Raw genomic sequence first — 24,459 nt, forward strand, 5'->3', positions numbered from 1 at the left:
TTTCAATTGTACCTCTGATTTGCCATTTTTCAAGGAAGGAAACCATCATCTACATTTCTATATGGGAACAATAGCAGATGAGTCACCTACTTTGTATTTTTAACTAAAAGAAAAGCATATTGGTTATGAAATTACTACTTGAATTTAGAAAGAAAAAACTAGAATAATTTTAAACTGCCAAATGTAGGCATGACTCAATACAAACGTTGTTTAAAGGTGAGAGTTTGTACCCACATAGAACTTACCATTTTAAAAACTTTGGCAGGAACTGCATTGGTTTGAGTAGCTTCCAGGTATTCTGTCCAGGAAAAATTTTCTGGATTGGGATAACCTGAAAATATATATATATAAATAGCAAAAGATTACTCATAGATATTCTGATTCCCGTATACTACAAAACGTTGGATGATATGACACCTAATGTTAATTGAATGCTCACCATTAAACAGACCTGATGCTAAGAACTTCAGATATATTAATTCACTTAACCATAACCTCTGAGAAGGCAAAGGCATGCCTGCACTCAAGCACTTACTCCATGGTACTCTCATTCACTCAACAAGGTTAAGTGAGTTGGCCAAGGTCAAAGGCCATGTGAGTACTTCACAGAGCCAGGTGAGACCCAGGTTTCTGACTCCCAAGCTCCAACAGAAGGCTCCTTAGCAGTTTGAAAACACTTACAAGCAACCATCTGACCTCATACCATGAATTGGAAAAAAAAGACTCTGAAAATCTTTCAAATTTCTCTAATCATTCTATATCTATTAAAGCTTTAGTCTCATTATTAAATCTTTGTAATTACAATTTCCTAAAATTGCAGTTAAAACTATATATTGAACATGATATAAAGAACTCTATTTCAAATTTCCTTCTTGTTTCTCTTTATGTTTGTGTTCTTTCATTCCTAATTAAATTTGCTAGAGATCTATATAGTATAGTTTTATTTATCTTTCCACGCAATAAGTATTTAGATTTATTCATCAGCTCTATTTTTTCTTCTTTTTTCTTTTCTAATTATATTGTTTACTGCTTTTACTCTTATTACTTCCTCCCTCCTACATCTCTTCAGTTTATTTTATATTTGTTTTGTCAAATTGAATTATAAACATAACTTATTTTCATTTAAAATGAAATAGACAATGAACCTGCCATTGTTGCCACTAAATTCAGGTTTAGACAGCTGGACACATTTTTTAAAAATATGTATTCTTCTCACTTTTTATTTTCTAGAAACCAATTATAATTGTAATCTGTGTTGTCTTGATTTAATCCTTAAATATTTATTTGAGATACTCCAAGTAATTTTCATATTTGTTTAAAATAGTAACACTAATATCTAGTTTACTACATAATAGTTTCAGAATGTCATGTGACATATAGAATTCCTGCTTTTGAGGTTTGAGGATTTCTTTTTAGTATAAAATAGAGTCAACAATTTTTAAAAAACAGAGTATATATGTATTTTAAAGTATGTTAGCATTTTCAGTAATACAATCTAGCTATATTATGCAAAAATCTGTCCTTTAAGCAGAAAGTCTGAAGCAATATGCTCAATTCTCTAAAATAAGTATTTTTTTACAATTCCCCCATATTTCTGATCATTTTTCCTTCATTTTTATGCTTTTTAATAAAAATATATTTAAAGGAAAGTACACAAATCAAGTGGATAGACTGAACATTTTTCAAAAAACTAGCATACCAGCATAACCAGACACAGATCTAAACCAGGACATTTCCAGAGCTCCAGGATCCCCTCCCCATCATCGTCCCTTCTAGGCACCATACCACCCTCCTCAAAGAGAAATCCCTACCCTCGCTTCCAACCACAGAGATTTGTTTTCTTCTGTTTTTCCCTTTACGTAAATGCAATCACACAGCATGTGCTCCTTTGTGGTGAACATCTTTTGCTCTGCATTCCGAATGTGAGGGTCAGGTGGATTATTGCCTTCAGAACATTCATTTTCATTGTTGTATAATATTCCATTATGTGAGTATTTCACAATTTATCTATCTATTCTACTGATTGTGGTCATTTGGGTGGTTTCCATTTGGGAGCTATTATTAAAAATGCTGCTATGAACATTCTGGTATATTCTTTTTAGTGATAAGAAGTATACATTTATGTTGGAATGCATCCAGGAGTAACACTGCTAGATCATGGAGTACTTTGCTTCATATTTTGATGTTACATCATTCTGTACATAAAATGTTTGGCATGAGTTGTGCTTTCTATTTATTCTTGATATAGAGAAAATTTCCCTTTCCCTTTTGGATACATTTATGTATTTTGTCTCAAATTATTTTTACTAAAAATTATATTGCCACCCTATTATTTTCTGTTTGTGTTTGCTGATAATATTTTACCCATCGTTTTTACTTTTATATTATTTTGTTCCAGACATATCTATTTTAATCACTTTCTAAATGGACTTTTAAATTAATTTACATTTGTTTTCACCACTAGTTTTTTAATCTAATTTCTGTAAACATGTTTTAAGCTGAATTTTTTTTAAGCTCTCTTGAGGTTTCCTTTGCTTTCTATCCTTTCCTTTATGAGTTATACTATATATTTTATGTTTCAATAAGTATTTCTGCAGTTGCATTTACTTTTTCTTTTTCAAGAGATGAGGTTTCTCTAGGCTGCCCGGGCTGGAATGCGGTGGCTCTTCTGACACAGTCATAGAGGACTGCAGCCTCAAACTCCTGGGCTCATGTTGTTCTCTCACCTCCGCCTTCTGAGTAGCTGGGACTACAGGCACATGATACCACACCCAACTCTGCATTTACTTTTATAGCTGATACTTTTTAAAATCATCCAAATCCATTTATCACATTTTGGATCTCCACATTTCTGTGTAGATTTTGAACCATGCCCACACCTGGCCCCTTCCATGCTGGGCTTCTTCACCCAGGCACCTGACCAGTACATATGGTTGGATAGAGCGAAAGGAAACCTGAGTGTAGGGGACTAAGGACTGGATGTGAGGTAAGTAAGAGAGACAGTACCTGGTCCTGTCCCAGCCTGGTAAAGAGACTTGGCATGCTACTGTGAGAGTCACTATCCTTCTTCCCCTTTTTGTGAAAAACAGGTGAAAATTAAAGGCTGTGACCGTTTTAAATGGCTCTTAAGCAGCAATTGCGTCTATGCCACTCTCAGAAATGAGCTATGTACATGCAAAAAAGGGAAAATATTGTACCTGTATATTCCCTGTTCAATGAACCCAAAGAGAGAAGAATGTCATATGGCCCAGGGAGAGTTGCAAAAGCCACGTACTCCAACTTTCTTCCTTCCGACCCCAGCCCTGAGTCCTGGTAGACCTTGGGAAGCAAGAAGTAGGGCTGCAGGGGGAGTGGGAGGGGCCAGGTCCATGCACACAGCAGTGCAGCAATACCGTGGAAGAAGCTTTCCAACGATTTAAATTCCTACTTGAGACAAGAATGAAATACAGGAGACCGCCCCATGGAACAAGAACAGCCTTTAACCTCTTCACCCCTCTCAATGAAAACCCACCTCTAACTGGCTTCCATTTATAGGTAAGCACTGTACTCACTTACATGAAGTCAGTTATTCCTCATCTATCCCTGTGAGGTACACTTTTATCTACATTTTTTAGGTGAGAACTTGAGCCTTGAGCAGCCTGCCAAGTGCTATACAGTTAGAAAGTGGAAGAAATGGTATCTGAACAATGACGCGTGGCTCCATCAACCTCATACTTATCACTTCGTCCTGCTGAGACTGAAAACCCAGCGCATCCATGATCCAAGGCAGCCCCTTTCAGGCCTCAGGACTGAGATGCTGAGCTCCCTCTGGAGGCCAAGGCATAGAACTGCGACAGCGAGAGGGCGGGACTGTAAACTGCTGGACTGGAGACTGGGCTATATTGTTTAAATTATTTATTCATGTCCCACCTCATTCCATGCCATTTTGAGTTAAAAACTTGCATGCTTTGGTTCAGCCACCCATGCCCACAGCCACAGCTTGGACCTCATTCTTTAGGTCCAAGCTGTGGCTGTGGGCATGGGTGGCTGAACCAAAGCGTGGAAAAAGTGTCACAGAAATTAGGATCAAGGAAGTACTGAGCTAGGGCGTCGGCCACTCAGCCCTGGATTTCCTCATGGTGCCAGCAATTCTTCCGGTAAAACGGTAGATCTGGGTGACAAATATCTTCAGTTAATGATGAAGAATAATTAAAAATCATCTGGATGGTGGCAAAATTAGGGGTGAGATGGAGTGAAGCAGAACAGCCTGAACGCTCAGGAAGAAGGGGATTTTCCAAACAGCTGAGAACTGTTTTAGAAGACGAGGAGAACTACTTGGGATGTGGCAAAATAAGCCGTCTCCTTTACAGGCTGCAGGGAAGTGGTGGCCTCGAGAGGGACAAAGGAGGAGGCCCTGTGTGAAAAAGCTGGGATCAGCTGGACATGGCGGCACACACCTGTAGTCCCAGCTACTCAGGAAGCTGGAGTGGGAGGATCACTTGAGCCGCTGAGTTCAAGACCAGCCTAGGAACATAACGAGACCTCACCTCTATTTTAAAACACAATTTAAAAAATAAAAATAAAAAGAAGAAACTGAGATCTAGGGAGATTACTTCCAGAACCTGGAGTGGAACGCATTCAGGGTCAAGAAAAAGCCCTTCTGGAGGATGCAAATATGGAAGCAAAAAAGGAAACATGTAAGGGTTAAACAATGGTAAATATAAGTTAAAACCTTCTCTACCATGTCATTCCAATGGCTTCCTCGATTACACAGGGGAAAAGCAAGTGCTTACCATGACCTACAGGGCCCTACAGAACTTGGCCCCACTACCGCTCTGACCTCATCTCCTGTTCACTACACTCCTGCTGTAACTAGAACACTGCAGACATCCTCCCTCTTCAAGTTCTTGTACTTGTTGTTCCTTTACCTGGAGAGTTATCTGTAGATATCCTCCAGACTTGTCACCTTATCTCAAATGCCACTCAACTGTCACCTTCTCGCTCAGTCCCACCCTGACTCTCTATATAATAGGGAGCCCCCCTCCCAAATGTATGTGCCCTTCCTAACCCCATTACTTGCCTTATTCTTCTCCACAGCACTTATTGACACCTAACACAGTGTGTGTTGTGAATATTTCATTTCTCTTGCTCCATTAGAACATAGGCTGCCTTATGATAGGAATATGTTCACTTCACTGTTATTTCCTCACAACATACAGCTGGTATTCAGTAAGTATTTGGTAAATATTTGTTGAATGAATAAAATATATTTCCTGAAACATTTACATTTTACATTTTGGTGGCCAAGAATGATAGAGATACAAGCCAAAATGATACCAGTCTAGCCCCAAAATTCTGAATGAAACTCTGATACAAAGTTTTTTGCCTGCTGGTACTGGTGGCATCAGAGGTACCATTTGAACAAAATGGTGCTGGTGTGTCAATACTGGCTAATGTTCCAACAGCACTGTAAACTGGATGATGCCAAGAAAAAGCCGTCTGATCTGTGGCATCTATACAATGCAAATGTAATACTCCTCAGTTTTTTTTTCCATATTAGAAGGCCATGTAAGAAGGTGTAATACTGGTTTCAGATTTTTTTTTAAAGGCACCCTCGATTATTTTTCCTCTAGGAACAACAGCCTAAGCAGCAACCTATTTTTTCCACTGGAACATTCTTTCTAAAGAATTGAGCTCATGAATCAATAGCACAAGTCCTTAAGTTCCTGACTAGTCTGGGTGACCTGTCCCTTAGGAACTAGAGAAGCAGAACAACCACAATTATACTGGTGGCCAATTCAGGAAACAAAATCATTGCTGTATGACAAGCAGGTTTTAAGTAATGGCCAATAGTCCTATTTAATAAGCAGCAATAAAAGGGATCTGCCAAGGGTCTATCACAATAGACAAATCTATCTGTCTATTGGATCTGCCAAGGGTCTATCACAATAGACAGAATGTTCAGCATGAACACACATGCTGGATGGACACTTCATCAAACTCAATTCTACTGATGAGGAAAGTGAGACCTGGCATTTTAAGTGACTCATACAAGGCAAGGCAACTAACAACGAAGTCAAAGCTAGAGCCTGTGTCTCCTGACTTGCAATTTGTAGAAATCAAAACTTCTAAAGAGCTACTTTGAGGTTTACTGAGTGCTCTAGGCTGCTGGGCCTGAAGTCTCAGAGAAAGCATCAATAGAATAATTAGGATTATGTGACTAGTACCAGTGCGGCCCTGGCTAGCTTTCACTATCATTTTAAGAACCTGAATTATATAAGAAAGCCCCTCAGAGGCCACTTATTCATTTGTTTCAAGTGTCTCTCACAAGGCAGGGCAGTGAGTCATCCAAATATCCGGGCCTCCAATGATAGAGATTGAGGAAAGTTACACTACCTGAAAGCTGTCATTCTGCTAGTAGGTTCTGCACATACAGAAGGGCCCTTCATGGAAACAATCATAGGACCAAGTGGTCACTAATTGTCTTGTATGAAATAGTGGCATGCTGTTCAGTACATGACTCAGAAATACAAGATTTGAAGAAAATCAGATGCTTCAATCGTGGCCAAGCCTAATTCAGGTTCACCCTTTATTGTTTCAAAACACATGTTGAAAATGACCTCACATTTACGGTGCCTTAGATATTAGAAGTCTTACATTCATATTCAGCTCATAACAATTAAAGTTAAAATATCTTTCTGGCAAAAGAACATAAGTTAGACTCTCTAACATTTACAGCAGTACGTCAGATTTTTTACTTGATCATTAATTAGTTTCTAAAGCATAGGGAGAATTCTTTGATCTACAGTATGAAATATCAGCACCTCAGGAGCTTGTCAAAGAGCTCATTTTATAATTGATTGTTTTGCTCAAAGTATGGCTGAGCTGTACTATATCCAGAATACACTATGTAAAGAAATAAACTCTCTTTTGTGTCTGGCGAGATCACCAGAAAACAACCTATCTGTGTTGCACTGGCTGAGCGCCCAGCAGAACTGTCTTCAATACCATGGCTCATGCGGGATCTAATCTAACCCAATGTTTTGGCAGGCATTTGAGACAGAGTAATGAGTTCTATTTCTCTCTGTCTCTCAATACTTAAGATTTTAAAATAAAAAGCTAGGGTTGTTTTTCTCTTAGTTTCTCTAACCGTATCATATTCCACTGAGTGACACTCTATTACAGACCTAGCAATCCTCACGTTATATCTTTATTGTTCTTTATTACATCCTCAGCTCCTAGCTGTGCCTCACATTTGGTAGGCACTCAATTCATATCGTTCAATTCATTAATTAATAATTTATATTATCCTCTGAACTCTTACCTTCCTTATGCCAACAGAATCTATCTATAGAAACTAGCACAGTTCCATTTAAAATACAGTAATCTTTTGTTTGGCTAAAAAAAAGTTAATGGCTAAGGTTGCAACTAAAGGAAGGATTTCTTTGGACTGTAAATTTTTCTATTATAATATAATATAATATAATATAATATAATATAAGCTTTGCAAGGAAATTATGAGGTAAAGTGGTCATTGGGTATCAAAATATTAATTTGCAAAGCTAAATATTTCTATGTGTTCATGAAACATCTAGAATATCTACTAAGTAGGTCCAGCCAATTGGTGATTCTAGAGAATCTAAAAAAACCAACTGTGTTATTTCTACAAAGTACATTTCATTACCTCCCAAAATACCAATTATTATAGCTTTATTCCCTAATAATAAATGTTCATTCAGCCAACAGGTTTGAATGCTCAATTTCCAGTTTAAAAATGCGGAAATAAACACATACTTTTAGCTGTGTTCCCTTCTAAATGCCAACAGGTATCAATAAAGGCATTTTTAAATGAATGTTTAACACAAAAATGCTGAGTTAATTTTGATATAACACATTATGAAATATTATGCAGTTATTATAAAGAAAGAATTTGAACTATACAGATGAGTTGGAAGGAATTTGCCATGAGACATAGTTGAGCAAAGTTAAAAATGATGTAAAGTAAGTACCTAATATAATCCAATTTTTACAGCACAAACAATGACAAAAAAAACATGGGCTTATGAACACATGGATATGAGCATGTATGTGCACATGGATATGCAATCATGAGAATCCACAAAATACGTACAGTATAAGATGATGGCTTTTCCTCTTGGTAAGAAGGCTGAACTGCATTTCCTAGACTCCTATGTAGCTACATGTAGTCCTGTGACTGAATTCAGGCCAACCCATGTGAGTAGAAATGATGTAATAAGCTACCTCCAAGTTTGGCCCTCCCATGTACAACCATCAGCTTCTTTCTATTCTCCGGCTGAAATGGAAAGATTACCAAGAAATTGGAGGATAATCCCAGAATAATTGCATGGAACAGAACTAGCCCCTATCAGCCATGATTATACTGTGACAGGAGCAAGAAACAAAATCTTAAATGTGCTAAAAGCACTAACATTTTGGAGCGGTTCGATATACTAGTTAGCTCAAGGTGACTAATATTAAGGGATTAGCATCAGTTACCATTTGCTCGGTGGGAGTAATTAACCTGGGTGGAAGGAGAAACCAAGGGGCACTAAGTGAGAAAACTCTGCAATTATAAAATAGTACGAATATAATGTTATTTATGCAAAAAATAAAAATAAAAACAAAACTAATATGAAGACATAAAGCCCCAAGGCGAACAGGTAAAAAGCCAAATGCAAATGAGAAATGTCAACAAAAATCCCTGGAAGTGTAAAAAAGAAACCAACAAATGAAAACTGACTTAACAAAACTTTACAAAGCTAAAACATAAATCTGTTAAAGAAGAACACATAAATCTGTTAACATAAGAAGTAGCTAGTTTATGTTATAGAATCCAGGAAAGCTTGGGAATTGCAGGCACCAAATATTTCTAATGGCAGCAGTGTGGGGCTAAACACAGACACTGGTCTTAAAGTCTGGTAGACCCCACGAAGTCATCTACCTTGCCCAACACAACGGGGGAACCATCCCTCATGCATTAAGGCAAAAGGCTGGAGGTTTTAATCTCTAGATAGATTGAAACAGAGAAGTTACAGATGTGGAAATCTTAGGCGCTAATGAAACCCACTCACAGAACAATGACCTCTCTACCCACTCCCATGGCCAGGATCTCAGAGAGCTAGCAGCACCCTCCCAAGTCATCCATTCTCACCATACACACCAGTCAGAGGAATGGAGGAACCTTGCCTGTGGAAACTGACCCAAGAGTCCTAGTTATGTTATTTGGGGGTGTAGAAACAAAACACGTGGTTTCCATCTGAACACCCTACAGGAAGGCTCACAAGCTGACAAGCTCCATCAGGGCACCCAGAGATTTTACCCAGCTTGTCAGGAGCTTATTCTTAAACATCAAAGTATAACTAAGATGAACTAGATATTTGAGGACCACAATAAATAGATACAAAAACAAATAAAAAAGGAAATTCGAAAAAAAAAACAAGGAAAACATAAAGTGAGGAAGATTTAAACCAAAAAGTTTTAAAAATAAACCTTTATTGAATATCCTTAGAGAGATCACAGAGGATCCATAAGATAAGAGTGCTATTGGAAAGTAGGGGGGAGCGTTCCCATTTCTGTGTAGAATGTAGAAAGCCACTGAAGACTGTTACTCGCTCCCTAACAATGATCATAAACTTTCTTGAGCCCACAGGAGATCTAAAGTTCCAAAGCAACAAAGTAAAGAGAAATCCAAAGAGGGACAGATAGAGAAACTCAAAGTATTTTGCCTGTAGCAGAGCATACGAGGAAGCAGTGATTCTATACAAGTGGGTAAAAAGAAATCAGCTTACATTTTAGTAAAGACTTAAAGGCCAAGTGGGGCTAGCCTGTCAGTCTGGAATAATGGGCCTGCCCAAGTGCTCAAGGGAAAGGTTAGGAGTGAAGCACAAAACTGGAGAAAGCTCCCTTCCAGAGCACCAAAGGTAAAGAAAAAATGTTAAGGCAGCACAAGGAAAATAAAAAATACATTAAGGGTGGCCAGGCACAGTGGCTTACACCTATAATCCCAGCACTTTGGGAGGCCAAGGCAGGTGGATAGGTTGAGCTCAGGTGTTCAAGATAAGCCTGGGAAACATGGCAAAACACCATCTTTACCAAAAATACAAACATTAACTGGGTGTGGTCGTACACACCTGTAGTCCCAGCTACTCAGGAGGCTGAGGTGGGAGAAGTGCCTGAGCCTGGGAGGCAGAAATTGCAGTGAGCCAAGGTCGTGCCACTGCACTCCAGCCTATCTAAAAAAAAAAAAAAAAAATTAAGGGGAACATAGGAACTACAGTAGACTTCTACTCAGAAACTATGCAAGTCAGAAGATAAGACAGTGACACCTTAAAAAAAAAATGAACAGGAAACCTTTCAACCCAGAATTATATACCCAGCAAAAATGTCTGTACAATGTTAAGGCAAAATAAAGGCTTTTCCAGGCAAATAAAAACTGACATAATGCATTTCCACCAAATTTAAGCTACAGGAAATTATAAAGAAAGTTCTTCAGAGAGAAGGAACATAACACCAGATGGAAATTTGGATACATACAAAGACATAAAAAGTGCTGAAAATGGTGAACATAAAGGTAAAAATAAAATACACCTGCTTAATATAAATCACTGTAAAAGATAATGTCCGCCAGATGTGGTGGCCCATGCTGTAATCCCAACACTTTCGGAGGCAGAGGCAGGTGGATTACTTGACGTCAGGAGTTTGAGACCAGCCTGGCCAACATGGCGAAACCCCATCTCTACTAAAAGTACAAAAATAGCTGAGTGTCATGGTGCACACCTGTAATCCCAGCTACTCAGGAGGCTGAGGCACAAGAATCACTTGCAACTGGGAGGCAGAGGTTGCAGTGAGCCTAGATCGCACCATTGCACTCCAGACTGAGGAACAGAGTGAGATTCTGCCTCCAAATAATAATAATAAAATAAAAAATAAACAAACAAAAGATAATGTCATAATCTAAAACAAATACGGTAACAGCCTTTACGAGATATAGAACATATAGAAGGTAAAATTGCTTTTACTTCATGTTTTCCTTATTTGCTCATTTTATAAGAAAAATAGTCATCTAGAACTAAAGACAACAAGAGGAGAAATGGCAGGAAAGAAAATGGAAATAAACTGTTGTACTATGGGAACAGCTATACTATTTCTCACACTGTGGGAAAAGTGATATAATAAAGTAGACTGCGATAATAGGTATATCATAAACTGTAGAGCAACTGATAAATATTTTTAAGAGGCATAATTAAAAAGTCAATACTGAAGGTAAAATGGAAGCATTAAATAATACCCAATAAAATCTTTAAAAAGTCAGGAAAATATTTAAAAAAACCAAAACCATAATGGATAAATAGAACACTAACACCAAGATGAGGGATTTAAATTCAGTCATACACATAAATATGTTACATATTTTTGGAAACCCACTTTAAATATAAATATACAAATAGGTAAATTGTAGGTTAAAAAGTATGGAAAAAGATATGCAATACAAGCATTAATCAAAAGAAAGTTAAAATGGCTAAAGAAATGTTACCAGGGATGAAAAAGAAAAATACATAAAAATAAAGGGGACAATTCTTTAAGAGAACAAAATCATTCTATAAGTGTGTGCACCTAATAAGAGTGCTTCAAAATATACAAAGCAAAAAACTATAGAATAAAAAGGGGAAATACACAAATCCACACTTACAGATGACTTAATCCTCTCTCAGTAATCAATGGAAAAAGTAAACAGAAAATTGGTAAGAACACAGAAGACATGAACAACACTCAACCGACTTGAACTAATTGATTATTGATGGAACACTCCACCCAACAACAGCAAAATACACATTGTTTTCATGGATGTGTAACATTCACAAGAAAAAACACATTCTGAGCCATGGAGGGGAAAATTATGTTTTAAAGAACTGAAATAATACAAAGTACATTGTTTGATAACAAAATTAAATTAGCAAAATTGAATTCATAGCTAAAACCTTCCCAGAAACAAAACCTCAAGCCCAGATGGCTTCACTTATGACTTTTACCAAATACTTCAAGAATAAATAATACTAATTTTAAACCTGCTGTTCCAGAAAATGTACACCAAGAGAGGAATATTTCCAATTCATTTGTGAGATCACCATTTTCTGATACAAAAACCAGTTTTAAAAATTAAGAAAAGAAAACTCCAGACAAATATCCTTCACAAATATGGGTGTTAAAATCAATAAACTGCAAGGAAATCAAATCATAACTCACTCCAGCCTAGAACTCCTGGGCTCAAGCGATCCTCCCACCTCAGTTTCTGAGTAGCTGGGACTGCAGGTGCATGCCGCCACACCTAGCTAATTTTTTTTTAATAGAGATATAGTCTTGCCATGTTGCCCAGTCTGGTCTTAAACTCCTGGCCTCAAGCGATCTTCCTGCCTTGGCCTCCCAAGATGCTGGGATTATAAGCATGAGCCATCATGCCAGGACAAGAACAGCTTTTTCAAAACTGACACATAATAGTTGTACACTATCTGATACAGGCCACCGTAAAGCTATATAAGCTTGACAACGTGGTATTAATGTAAAGTTACAGGCATAAATCAATAGAACAGAATACAAAGTCCAAACGTAGACCTAGACATACATTGTCAATTAATTTTCCATAAAGATGCCAAGGTAATTCAAAGGAGAACAAATAGCGTTTTCCACAAATGTTCCTGAAACAACTTGAAATCCATATTCCAAACAAAAATCAAACCTTGGCCCCTACAGTGCACCATATATAAAAAGATCTCATTGTAAAACTCACAAATATAAAACTTCACTAGAATAAAAGAAAATATTGTGAACTTCTGATAGGAAAAGATTTCTTAGTACACAAAAAAGCTGAGACTCATTTAAAAATTAATTAATTGGGCATCATCAAAATTTTTAAAATCTGCTTTTTGAACAATATTGTTCAGAAAATGAAAAGATGAACCACAGACTGAGAGAAAATATTTGCAAAATACATATCTGGTAAATAAACTGTCTCCAGAATATATTAAGAACTCTCAAAACTCAATAATAAGAAAAATAATTCTTAAAAAATGGACAAAAGATTTGAATACATATTTAACTCAAGGAGAGCATATAAGTACATGAAATGTTACTTAAGATCATTAATTATTAGGGAAATGGCAAAACAAAACCACAGTGAAACACCACCACACACTTACAGAAAAGCTGTATTTTCTCCTGCCGCAGGAGAGCCTGTGAAATGTCCCATCATGGAGATGCGGGGAGAGAAGACCCTGAGTGCCTCCAGGAGCAGGGCACATGGGGGTCATTGTCATGGACAAAGGATCAGAAGTGACATCAAATGCCTAACTTGAAGTTAGAAAGCAACAAAGCAATATCTTCAAAGCTCTGAGGGGAAAATATTTTTAATCTGAATTTTCTTCTGATGGAGAATGTGAGAGTGACTTAATACCAGAAACAGAAAACTACACAAGGCAAATAGGTAACTATTAACTCCAGGGAAAATAAAAGTGGTAGAAGAAAGAAAATGGAATCACAGGAAACTCTAAGCTAAAAAAATTTTCATACTTATAATAGATGCACTAAATATTTTTAAAATTAAATATTAATGTTGGAAGTTAGTGTTCGTGTGAATAGTAGAAATTAAGAGACAGTACTGGAAAATGGAGCTGTATGAACACATACTTGAGGAACACAGTGATAAACATCAAAAGTAACAGGCTTGCCCCTGTTGGGAAGAAGAATGCTGTTTTTTATCTATAAGACTTGTAATACAACTAAGTATGTGGGTAATTGTTTTCAAGTTTTTTTAAATTGTGGTTGTTTGGGTTTTTATTGTTGAGTTTTAGAAACTCTATATATACCCTGGATATTAATCCCTTATCAGATATATGATATGCAAATTTTTTCCACTCTGTAGGCTGCCTTTTCACACTGTTGATACTCATTGTCCTTCGATGTATGGAAGTTTTTAATTTTCATGAAGTCCAATTTGTCTATTTTTTCTTTTGTTACCTGTGCCCTTGCTGTCATATTCAAGAAATCATTGCCAAATCCAATGTCATGAAGCTTTTTCTCTACGTTTTCTTTTAAGAACTTCAATAGTTTTAGTTCTTAGGTTTTCTTATGTTTAGGTCTTTGATTCATTTTGAGTCAGTTTTTGTATAAGAGTCCAATTTCATTCTTTTCCATGTGAATATCCAGTTTTCCCAGCACCACTTGTTGAAGACTCTCTTTTCCCCACTGAATAGTCTTGGCTCCCTTGTTGAAAATCATTTCACCATAACTGCAAGGGTGTATTTGTGAGCTCTCTATTCTACTCCACTCTCTATTCCATCTCTATCCCCATGTGAGGACCACACTGTTTTGATTGCTGTAGCTTTTCGGTAAGTTCTGAAATCAGGAAGTGTGAGTCCTCCAACTTTGTTCTTTTTCATGATTGTATAGACTATTCAGGGTCCCTTGAGAGTCAATATAAATTTTAGGATGGATTTTTCTTTTTATTCTCAAAATGTCTTTGGAATTTTGATAAAGATTAAGTTGAATCTGCTTATATCGCTTAGGGTAGGTTGACTTTTTTTAAACTTTTATTTTAGGTTCAGGCATACATGTGCAGGTTTGTTATACAGGTAAATTACATGTCACAGGGGCCTGGTGTAAACATCATTTCATCACTCAGGTAATAAGAGAGGTAAAAACTATCCCAGGTAGATTTTCGATCTCTCTCCTCCCACTCTCCACCCTCAAGAATCCCCCCAGTGTCTCTTGTTGTTTTATTTCTGTCCATGTATACTCAATGTTTAGCTCCCACTTGCAAGTGAGAACATGGGATATTCTGTTTTCTGCTCCTCTGGTAGTTCACTTAGGATAATGGTCTCCAGCTCCATCCACATTGCTATAAAGGACATGATCTCATTCTTTTGGATGACTGTGTAGTATTCCATGGTGAATATGCACCACAGTTTATTTATCCAATCTACCATTGACAGGCATTTGAGTTGACTCCATGTCTTTGAGATTGTGAATAGCGCTGAGATGAGCATACACATGCATGTGTCTTTATGGAAGAACAATTTATATTCCTTTGGGTATATACTCAATATCAGGACTGCTAGATTGAATGGTAATACTACTAACACTACTTTGAGTTCTTTGAGAAATCACTACACTGCTTTCCACAATGGCTGAACTAATTTACATTCCCACCCGCAATGTATAAGTGTTCACTTTTCTCTGCAACCTCACCAGCATCTGTTATTTTTTTGACTTTTTAATAATAGCCATTCTGACTGGTGTGAGATAGTCTCTCATTGTGGTTTTTGATTTGCATTTCTCTAATGAGTGAGCATATTTTCATATGCTTGTCAGCTACATATATGTCTTTTGAAAAAATGTCTGTTCATGTCCTTTGTCCACTTTTTTAATGGGGTTGTTTGTTTTTTGCTTGTTAGTTTAAGTTCCTTATGGATTCCAGATATTAGACTTTTGTCAATGCATAGTTTGCAAATATTTTCTCTCATTCTGTAGGTTGTCTGTTTACTCTTTATAATTTCTTTTGCTATGCAGAAGCTTTTTAGTTTAATTAGGTCCCATTTGTCAATTTTTGGTTTTGCTGAAGTTGCTTTTGGTGTCTCTGTCATCAAATCTTTGCCAGGGCCTATATCCAGGATGGTATTTCATAGGTTATCTTCCATAGTTTTTATACTTGTAGGTTTTACTTTTAAGTGTTTAAACCATCTTGAGTTGATTTTTGTACATGGTATAATGAAGGGGTCCAGCTTCAATCTTCTGTATATGGCTAGCCATCTATCACTGCACCTTTTATTGAAGAGGGAGTCCTTCCATCCATTGCTTGTTTTTGCCTACTTATCAAAGATCAGATAGTTGTAGGTGTATGGCTTTATTTCTGGGCTCTCTATTCTGTTACATTGGTCTATGTGTCTGTTTTTGTACCAGTACCATGCTGTTTTGGTTACAGTAGACTTGTATAGTTTGAAGTCTGGCAATGGGATGCCTTAACAATATCACATTTTCTAATACACGAACATGGCTTTCCACTCATTTGTGTCACCCTGAAGTTCTTTCAGCAATGTTGTATACTTTTCAGTGTACAAATCTTTTACTTCTTGGTTAATTCCTAAGTATTTTATTATTTCTGATGCTACTGCAAATTGAGGTGTTTTCTTAATTTCCCTTTCTGATTGTTTATTGTTACAGTAAAGAAATGCAACTGATTTTTGTGTGTTGATTTTGTATCCTGCCATTTTGTTGAATTGGTTTATTAGTTCTACCAGATTTTTTTATGTTAGGGTTATCTACACACATAATAATTTTGGCTTCTAACAGATATGATTTTACCTCTCCCTTTCCGTTAGGATGCCTTTTATTTCACTTTCTTACCAAATTAGTCAGGCTAGATCTATGCTGAAACAAAATGATGAAAGTGGGTATCTTTACCTTGTTCCTGATCTTACAGGAAAAGCTTTCAGACATTCACCATTGAGTATGATATTCCCTGTGGGTTTTCATATATATCCTTTATTATGCTGAGGTAGTTCCCTTCTGTCTCTACCTTGTTGAATGTTTTTGTCATGAAAGGGTGTTGAATCTTGTCAAATGCTTTTCTGCCTTAATTGCAATAGCATGTGGTTTTTTCTCTACATTTTGTTGCCGTGGTATATTACACTGATTAATTTTCATATGTTGAGCCATCCTTGCATTTCAGTAATAAATCCCACTTGGTTATGGTGTATGTAATCTTTTTCATATACTGTTGATTTTGGGTTTTCTAGTATTTTATTGAGGATTTTTGCATCAGTGTTCCTGAAGAATATTGGTCTACAGTTTTCTTTTTGTTTCTTTGTTTGGCTTTGGTATTATGGTAATTATGTTGGCCTCATAAAATAAGTTAGGAAGTGTTCCCTCATCTTCTGTTTTTTGGAAAAGTTTGAGAGGGAGTGGTACTGGTTCTTAAAATGTTTGCTAGAATTCACTAGTCAAGCCTAGGGCTTTTCTTTGTCAGGAGGTTTTTGTATTACTGATTCAATCTATGAATCATTTTAGTTAGAATATTTTAATAAAATAAATATGATTTATTGCATATTTTATGAAGCAGGAGTCATGAATAAAATGTGAGCAAAACATAGTCCTTGCTCACACAAGGTTCACAGAAAATTGTGCCTACCTTAGAAAAATCCAGTTTTATTCATTTTATTTTCTTTGTTATGTCTGAATTTTCTAATATTGTTATCAGAAGAAAAAAAAGTTTATGGAGGATACTCTGAAAATATTTATGAAATACTTAAAATTTTTTTCCATACTCAGTAATCTAGTAATTCTACTTACAACAGTCATAAAAAATAACTAACATATATAATTTTTTGAAAGGATTTCCTCCCGATCATTATTTATAAGAACTCAATAAAATACTGGCAAACCAAATTCAGCAGCACATCAAAAAGCTAATCCACCATGATCAAGTGGGCTTCATCCCTGGGATGCAAGGCTGGTTCAAGATACGCAAATCAATAAACGTAATCCAGCATATAAACAGAACCAAAGACAAAAACCACATGATTATCTCAATAGATGCAGAAAAGGCCTTTGACAAAATTCAACAACCCTTCACGCTAAAAACTCTCAATAAATTAGGTATTGATGGGACGTACCTAAAAATAATAAGAGCTATTTATAACAAACCCACAGCCAATATCATACTGAATGGGCAAAAACTGGAAGCATTCCCTCTGAAAACTGGCACAAGGCAGGGATGCCCTCTCTCACCACTCCTATTCAACATAGTGTTGGAAGTTCTGGCCAAGGCAATCAGGCAGGAGAAAGAAATAAAGGATATTCAATTAGGAAAAGAGGAAGGCAAATTGTCCCTGTTTGCAGATGACGTGATTGTATATTTAGAAAACCCTATCATCTCAGCCCAAAATCTCCTTAAGCTGACAAGCAACTTCAGCAAAGTCTCAGAATACAAAATAAATGTGCAAAAATCACAAGCATTCTTATACACCAATAACAGACAGAGAGCCAAATCATGAGTGAACTCCCATTCACAATTGCTTCCAAGAGAATAAAATACCTAGGAATCCAACTTACAAGGGATGTGAAGGACTTCTTCAAGGAGAACTACAAACCACTGCTCAATGAAATAAAAGAGGAAACAAACAAATGGAAGAACATTCCATGCTCATGGGTAGGAAGAATCAATATCGTGAAAATGGCCATACTGCCCCAGGTAATTTACAGATTCAATGCCATCCCCATCAAGCTACCAATGACTTTCTTCACAGAATTGGGAAAAACTACTTTAAGGTTCATATGGAACCAAAAAAGGGCCTGCATTGTCAAGACAATCCTAAGCCAAAAGAACAAAGCTGGAGGCATCACACTACCTGACTTCAAACTATACTACAAGACTACAGTAACCATAACAGCATGGTACTGGTACCAAAACAGAGATATAGACCAGTGGAACAGAACAGAGCCCTCAGAAATAATACCACACATCTACAACCATCTGATCTTTGACAAACCTGACAAAAACAAGAAATGGGGAAAGGATTCCCATTTAATAAATGGTGCTGGGAAAACTGGCTAGCGACATGTAGAAAGCTGAAACTGGATCCCTTCCTTACCCCTTACACAAAAATTAATCCAAGATGGATTAAAGACTTACATGTTAGACCTAAAACCATAAAAACCCTACAAGAAAACCTAGGCAGTACCATTCAGGACATAGGCATGGGCAAGGACTTCATGTCTAAAACACCAAAAGCAATGGCAACAAAAGCCAAAATTGACAAATGGGATTTAATTAAACTAAAGAGCTTCTGCACAGCAAAAGTAACTACCATTAGAGTGAACAGGCAACCTACAGAATGGGAGAAAATGTTTGCAATCTACTCATCTGACAAAGGGCTAATATCCAGAATCTACAATGAACTCAAACAAATTTACAAGAAAAAAACAAACAACCCCATCAAAAAGTGGGCAAAGAATATGAACAGACACTTCTCAAAAGAAGATATTTATGCAGCCAATGGACACACAAAAAAATGCTCATCATCACTGACCATCAGAGAAATGCAAATCAAAACCGCAATGAGATGCCATCTCATGCCAGTTAGAATGGCGATCATTAAAAAGTCAGGAAACATCAAGTGCTGGAGAGGATGTGGAGAAATAGGAACACTTTTACACTGTTGGTGGGACTGTAAACTAGTTCAACCATTGTGGAAGACAGTGTGGCGATTCCTCAAGGATCTAGAACTAGAAATACCATTTGACCCAGCGATCCCATCACTGGGTATATACCCAAAGGATTATAAATCATGCTACTGTAAAGACACATGCACATGTATGTTTATTACGGCACTATTCACAACAGCAAAGACTTGGAACCAGCCCAAATGACCATCAGTCATAGACTGAATTAAGAAAATGTGGCACATATACACCATGAAATACTATGCAGCCATAAAAAAAGATGAGATCATGTCATTTTTTAGGAACATGGATGAAGCTGGAAACCATCATTCTGAGCAAACTATCCCAAGGACAGAAAGCCAAACACCACATTTTCTCACTCATAGGTGGGAATTGAACAATGAGAACACTTGGACACAGGGTGGGGAACATCACACACCGGGGCCTGTTGTGGGGTTGGGAGCATGGGGGAGGGATAGCATTAGGAGAAATACCTAATGTAAATGACGAGTTAATGGGTGCAGCAAATCAACATGGCACATGTATACATACGTAACAAACCCGCACATTGTGCACATGTACCCTAGAACTTAAAGTAACATAATAAATACAAATTTTAAAAAAGAAATAAAGACGTATGTCCACAGAGAAAATTGTACATGAATGCTTACAGTGGCATTTCTAATAATAACCAAAAGGTACAACTAAACCAAATGTTCATCCACAAATCGATGGGTAAACAAACTGTGGTATGTACATACAATGGAATGTTATTCAGCCATAAAAAGGAATGAAGTACTGAGACATGCCACAACTTGGATGAACCTTGAAAATACGATGTCAAGTGAAAGAAGCTAGATACAAAAGGTCACATATTGTATGATTCCTTTCATGTAATATATCAAGAATAGGCAAAGTCATAGAGGTGGAAAGCTGATTAAAGGTGCCAGGGAAATAGGGGTATGGACGGGTATAGGGAATGTCTACTTAATAATCACAGAAGTTTTTACAGGGAATAAAAAAGTTTTGAAACTAGAGAGAGCTGGTGGTTGCATAACATTGTGAATACATTAAATACCACCAAATTGCACACTTTAAAATGGTTAACTGTATGCTGTGTGAATTTTACATCAATAAAAGAAGAATAAAATAGTAGCAAATTTAATAAAGTAAGTACTAGATTTGTAAACTGAAAACTACAAATTATAATTGAAAGAAAATTTTAAAAGGCCTTTATAAATGGAAAGAAGTCCTGTGTTCATGGGAAGAGAAACTTAATATTGTGAAGATGACAATACTCCACCAATTGATCTACAGATTCAGTGCACCACTATCAAAACCCCAGCTGGCTTTTTTGCAGAAATTCACAAGTTAATTCTAAAATTCAGATAGAAATGCAAGGGACTGAGAAGAGCAAAAACAATTGTGAAAAAGAACGGTGCTGGAGGACTCATGTGTTCCAATTTGGAAATTTACTACAAAGCTACAGTAATCAAAGCATGATACTGGTATAAATTGGACATACGAACCAATGAAAAAGAACTGAGGGACCTGAAATAAACTCACACTCTATGAGCAATGGATTTTCAATAAGGGTGACAATAGGGAAATAATAGTCTTTTGTAACAAATCTTTATGACCTTAGATTAGGCAATGCTTTTGCAGACAGAACTAGCATGTTAATGATGGCATAATCCTGGAACTCTAATTCCAAATGTGCTGCGCAGAATTTTTCTAGGCTCACACAACGCCAAGAGACTTACACACTGAGCCTATTCATGAAGTGTAGTGAAAATAAGCTGGAAGCAGAGAAGAAGATATTTCACCAGATGAAAATGGGAAGAAGCATTCCATGTCTCTAGGCACACCAACTCAAACCACACACTCAGATCTGACAAGCATTTCATCTCATCTTAAGGAACATCATTCTAAAGTTAGTTTTAGCCACTTTTACAGAAAAATAAAACAAATGACTCCAAATCTCTCTATATATCAAAATCAAAATTTAAGGTGTTAAATATTTCATAAACCTTTCTAGACCAAACAGGCATTTTTGAATAATTTGTGATTTTGATTTGGCTTCTTTATTGTTTTTAATTCTTGAAATTATCTTCACTAAATTCAAGAATTTGATGAGAAGTCCTAATATTTTTCTATATTTAAGGCGAAAACATTAAAAAACAGCAAAAGTATGAATCATTTGAATCAAAACAACATTTGTTCCATTCTGGAATGGCACATCCCTTACTCTACATTTCTTTCTGTACATTTTTTATTGAAAGAAAATATCTGTCTGCTTGAACACTTGTGTTAAAAATACTAAGATTATACAGCCTGTATTTCTAATTCATTTTAAATTAAAAACAAAGGGATTTGACAGAGCAAGTCTCTAAACATTTCATAACATTTCTGTAATGAAAAAAATAACTAACTAGATAGAGTCCTTATTTAAATGTTTAGCTAAGATGTTAATTTGGTTTGGGGAAGGAAGTCTGGCAAGTTTGGAGACCCATTGTTAAGTTAGTCTTACTGCTTTAGATTTCTGTACTTCTACATTGAACTCCAAAGTTAATTATATTTAATAATCATAGCATTCAATTAATGAATTGTTATTAGATAAATTATGTAAGTAGAAATAGCTAGTTTTAAGTATCAGTATTCAACAATGGTACTCATTTAGTTGGATAAAAATTTTTAGCAACTTTGTTTCAATGGCTGCCTAGTACATCTTTTTTTTTTTTTTTTTTTTTTTTTTTTGAGACAGAGTCTCACTCTGTCACCCAGGCTGGTGTGCAGTGACACGATCTCGGCTCACTGCAACCTCCGCCTCCCAGGTTCAAGCAATTCTCCTGCCTCAGCCTCCCAAGTAGCTGGGATTACAGGTGCCCACCACCACACCCAGCTAATTTTTGTATTTTTAGTAGAGATGGGGTTTCACCATATTGGCCAGGCTGGTCTTGAACTCCTGACCTCAGGTGATCCGCCCACCTTGGCCTCCCAAAGTGCTAGGATTACAGGGATGAGCCACCACACCCAGCACCTAATGCATCTTTATAAACACAGTTCGTCTTCATTATGGGTAAGGAAATGCAGGTTTCAGACACTTGGTGGTCAACAGAATCTCACATAGTGTTTTTATCATATTAAATAGATATGTATTAAAATCTGGTCTTCATAAACAAAATAAAAATGAGGACTGCCACTCACACAGAGATGACTTCAAAGAAAACCCAGGCAGTCCACTCACCTTGGGGTGCTATCAGAGTTCTTCCATTCTCCTGACACCAACCAACTGGCTGGACATAAGGGCTATTAACATCGCACCTGCAAAAACAGAGCTCTATATTACGTTCCGTTTTACTTCATGCCAGAGAAAGAATTCAAGAGTAACAATCATTCTGGATATCAACAGATACCACAGAAAACAGTACTTCATAGCTGGAGAGAATTAGAAGGAATTTTCAGTACTGCATTAGTAGGCTGTTACCAAGCTTCTCTTTCACATAAGCTTCTTGAAATTTAAAAGTATAAAATTGGCTGGGCGCGGTGGCTCACGCCTGTAATCCCAGCATTTCGGGAGGCCGAGACAGGCGGATCATGAGGTCAGGAGATCGAGACCATCCTGGCTAACATGGTGAAACCCCGTCTCCACTAAAAATACAAAAAATTAGCCAGGTGTGGTGGCGGGCGCCTGTAGTCCCAGCTACTCGGGAGGCTGAGGCTGGAGAATGGCGTGAACCCGGGAGGCGGAGCTCACAGTGAGCCAAGATCGCGCCACTGCACTCCAGCCTGGGCAACAGAGCGAGATTCCATCTCAAAAAAAAAAAGTATAAAATTAACAGAGGATTGCCAAGGGCCTGAATGAGCTGCCAGTGATGTTCCCAAAAAAGTGAGTGAGCATTTTAATAAACTTCTACCACTTCTTGCTGGCAGCAAGAGAAAATATTAATAGGACAGTCCAATCAGACTCCAGATGACATCTTTCCTCCTTGTCCTTTTCAAAGAACCCAGAATATTCTGCCTAAGACACATATACAACAATACCTCTCTGCTTTGCCTCTGAGTTCAAAGGAGAAGACAGGGCCCATCAGGCACATAAAGAACCACTGCCTCAGGCAGGGACATATGTGGAGGGACATATGTGGAGAAATGCTATAAAAATTATTTTTGCCATGACCTCTTGCATATTTCAGGTTTTTAATCAAAAAAAAAAACCCTTTCAACTCATGTCATGTTATTTTAATGGCATGCATGGTAGCATACATTTTCTCTGCTCCCCATAGGCTTTCGAAGAATTCACTCCCATTGTCCCAGAATCTTTCCTTTTAAAAATGTGATAAGGTGGCCAGGCGCGGTGGCTCACGCCTGTAATCCCAGCACTTTGGGAGGCCGAGGCGGGCGGATCACGAGGTCAGGAGATCGAGACCATCCCGGCTAAAACGGTGAAACCCTGTCTCTACTAAAAATACAAAAAATTAGCCGGGCGTAGTGGCGGGCGCCTGTAGTCCCAGCTACTTGGGAGGCTGAGGCAGGAGAATGGCGTGAACCCGGGAGGCGAAGCTTGCAGTGAGCCGAGATCCCGCCACTGCACTCCAGCCTGGGCGACAGAGCGAGACTCCGTCTCAAAAAAAAAAAAAAAAAAAATGTGATAAGGTACATTTAAGATTTTTTAGACAAAAAAAAAAAAATGCTGAAAGTTTTTAGCTTCCTCTTCACAGAAATGCTGTCCTCACAAATTAGACAAAATACAGCAAAGTGTCCTGAACAGGTTATATTATTTCAGATGAGGCTTCACTGGGTAACCTCTACAGATGGAGAAGTTTCTAGGGCTCTTTAATTCAGTAATTCACATGGAAGAGAAGGTAATGAACAGTCAACCACCAAATTCCTAATGCTCATCACTATTAGAAGAGCAAAAACAGCAACAGTGCTAGAATGAAAACAAATTCTTAACATCAAACATATGAATACACAAAAATAAAACACACATTCATATCTCACCAGTAATCGTAACTATCATCCCAGTTGTCAAAATGCACTAGTAAGCGATCTTCAACAATATCTGCTATGGTCGCCACACACACCAAGGAAGGGTTCTTCCTGTCCACGGCCTCCAGCTTCATTCCAACCTGAAATTCTTTAGACATTGGCCCATTCTAACGCAGCACCAGCAGGGGAAGAAGCACAAAAAGAAACAGGACACCAAATAGGACTGAGCCACTGTCAAAACTTCTATGTTTAGCAACA

General features: G+C 37.3%; 1 protein-coding gene across 31 annotated transcripts in view, besides 1 other annotated feature; it reads right to left on the bottom strand.

The window, feature by feature from the left end:
- Positions 1-24,459, bottom strand: part of L3MBTL4 (L3MBTL histone methyl-lysine binding protein 4) — a 460,543-nt gene that overhangs the window by 260,788 nt on the left and 175,296 nt on the right. For 30 of the 31 annotated variants that reach the window (NR_158610.2, NR_158609.2, NR_158611.2 and 27 more), the window contains 3 exons: positions 24,214-24,368; positions 22,460-22,536; positions 246-331 (listed from right to left, as the gene is read on the bottom strand). Coding sequence is in view for 25 of the 31 variants with exons in the window: in NM_001365765.2 (NP_001352694.1) it covers positions 246-331; positions 22,460-22,536; positions 24,214-24,368 (318 nt within the window). In the remaining 6 variants the exon portion in view is untranslated. Of the gene's footprint in view, positions 1-245; positions 332-8,110; positions 8,288-22,459; positions 22,537-24,213; positions 24,369-24,459 lie in introns of those variants that run through there. The other variant, XM_011525767.3, reaches the window with a different exon arrangement.
- Positions 3,709-3,758: an enhancer, noted in NCBI's record as "active region_13059". NCBI's record gives its function as "activates an Ori minimal core promoter by ATAC-STARR-seq in GM12878 lymphoblastoid cells {active_cell/tissue: GM12878}" and the evidence as "EXISTENCE:reporter gene assay evidence [ECO:0000049][PMID:35858748]".

This window comes from Homo sapiens, chromosome 18, assembly GCF_000001405.40.
Source record: "Homo sapiens chromosome 18, GRCh38.p14 Primary Assembly".
Taxonomy (NCBI): Eukaryota; Metazoa; Chordata; class Mammalia; order Primates; family Hominidae; genus Homo; species Homo sapiens.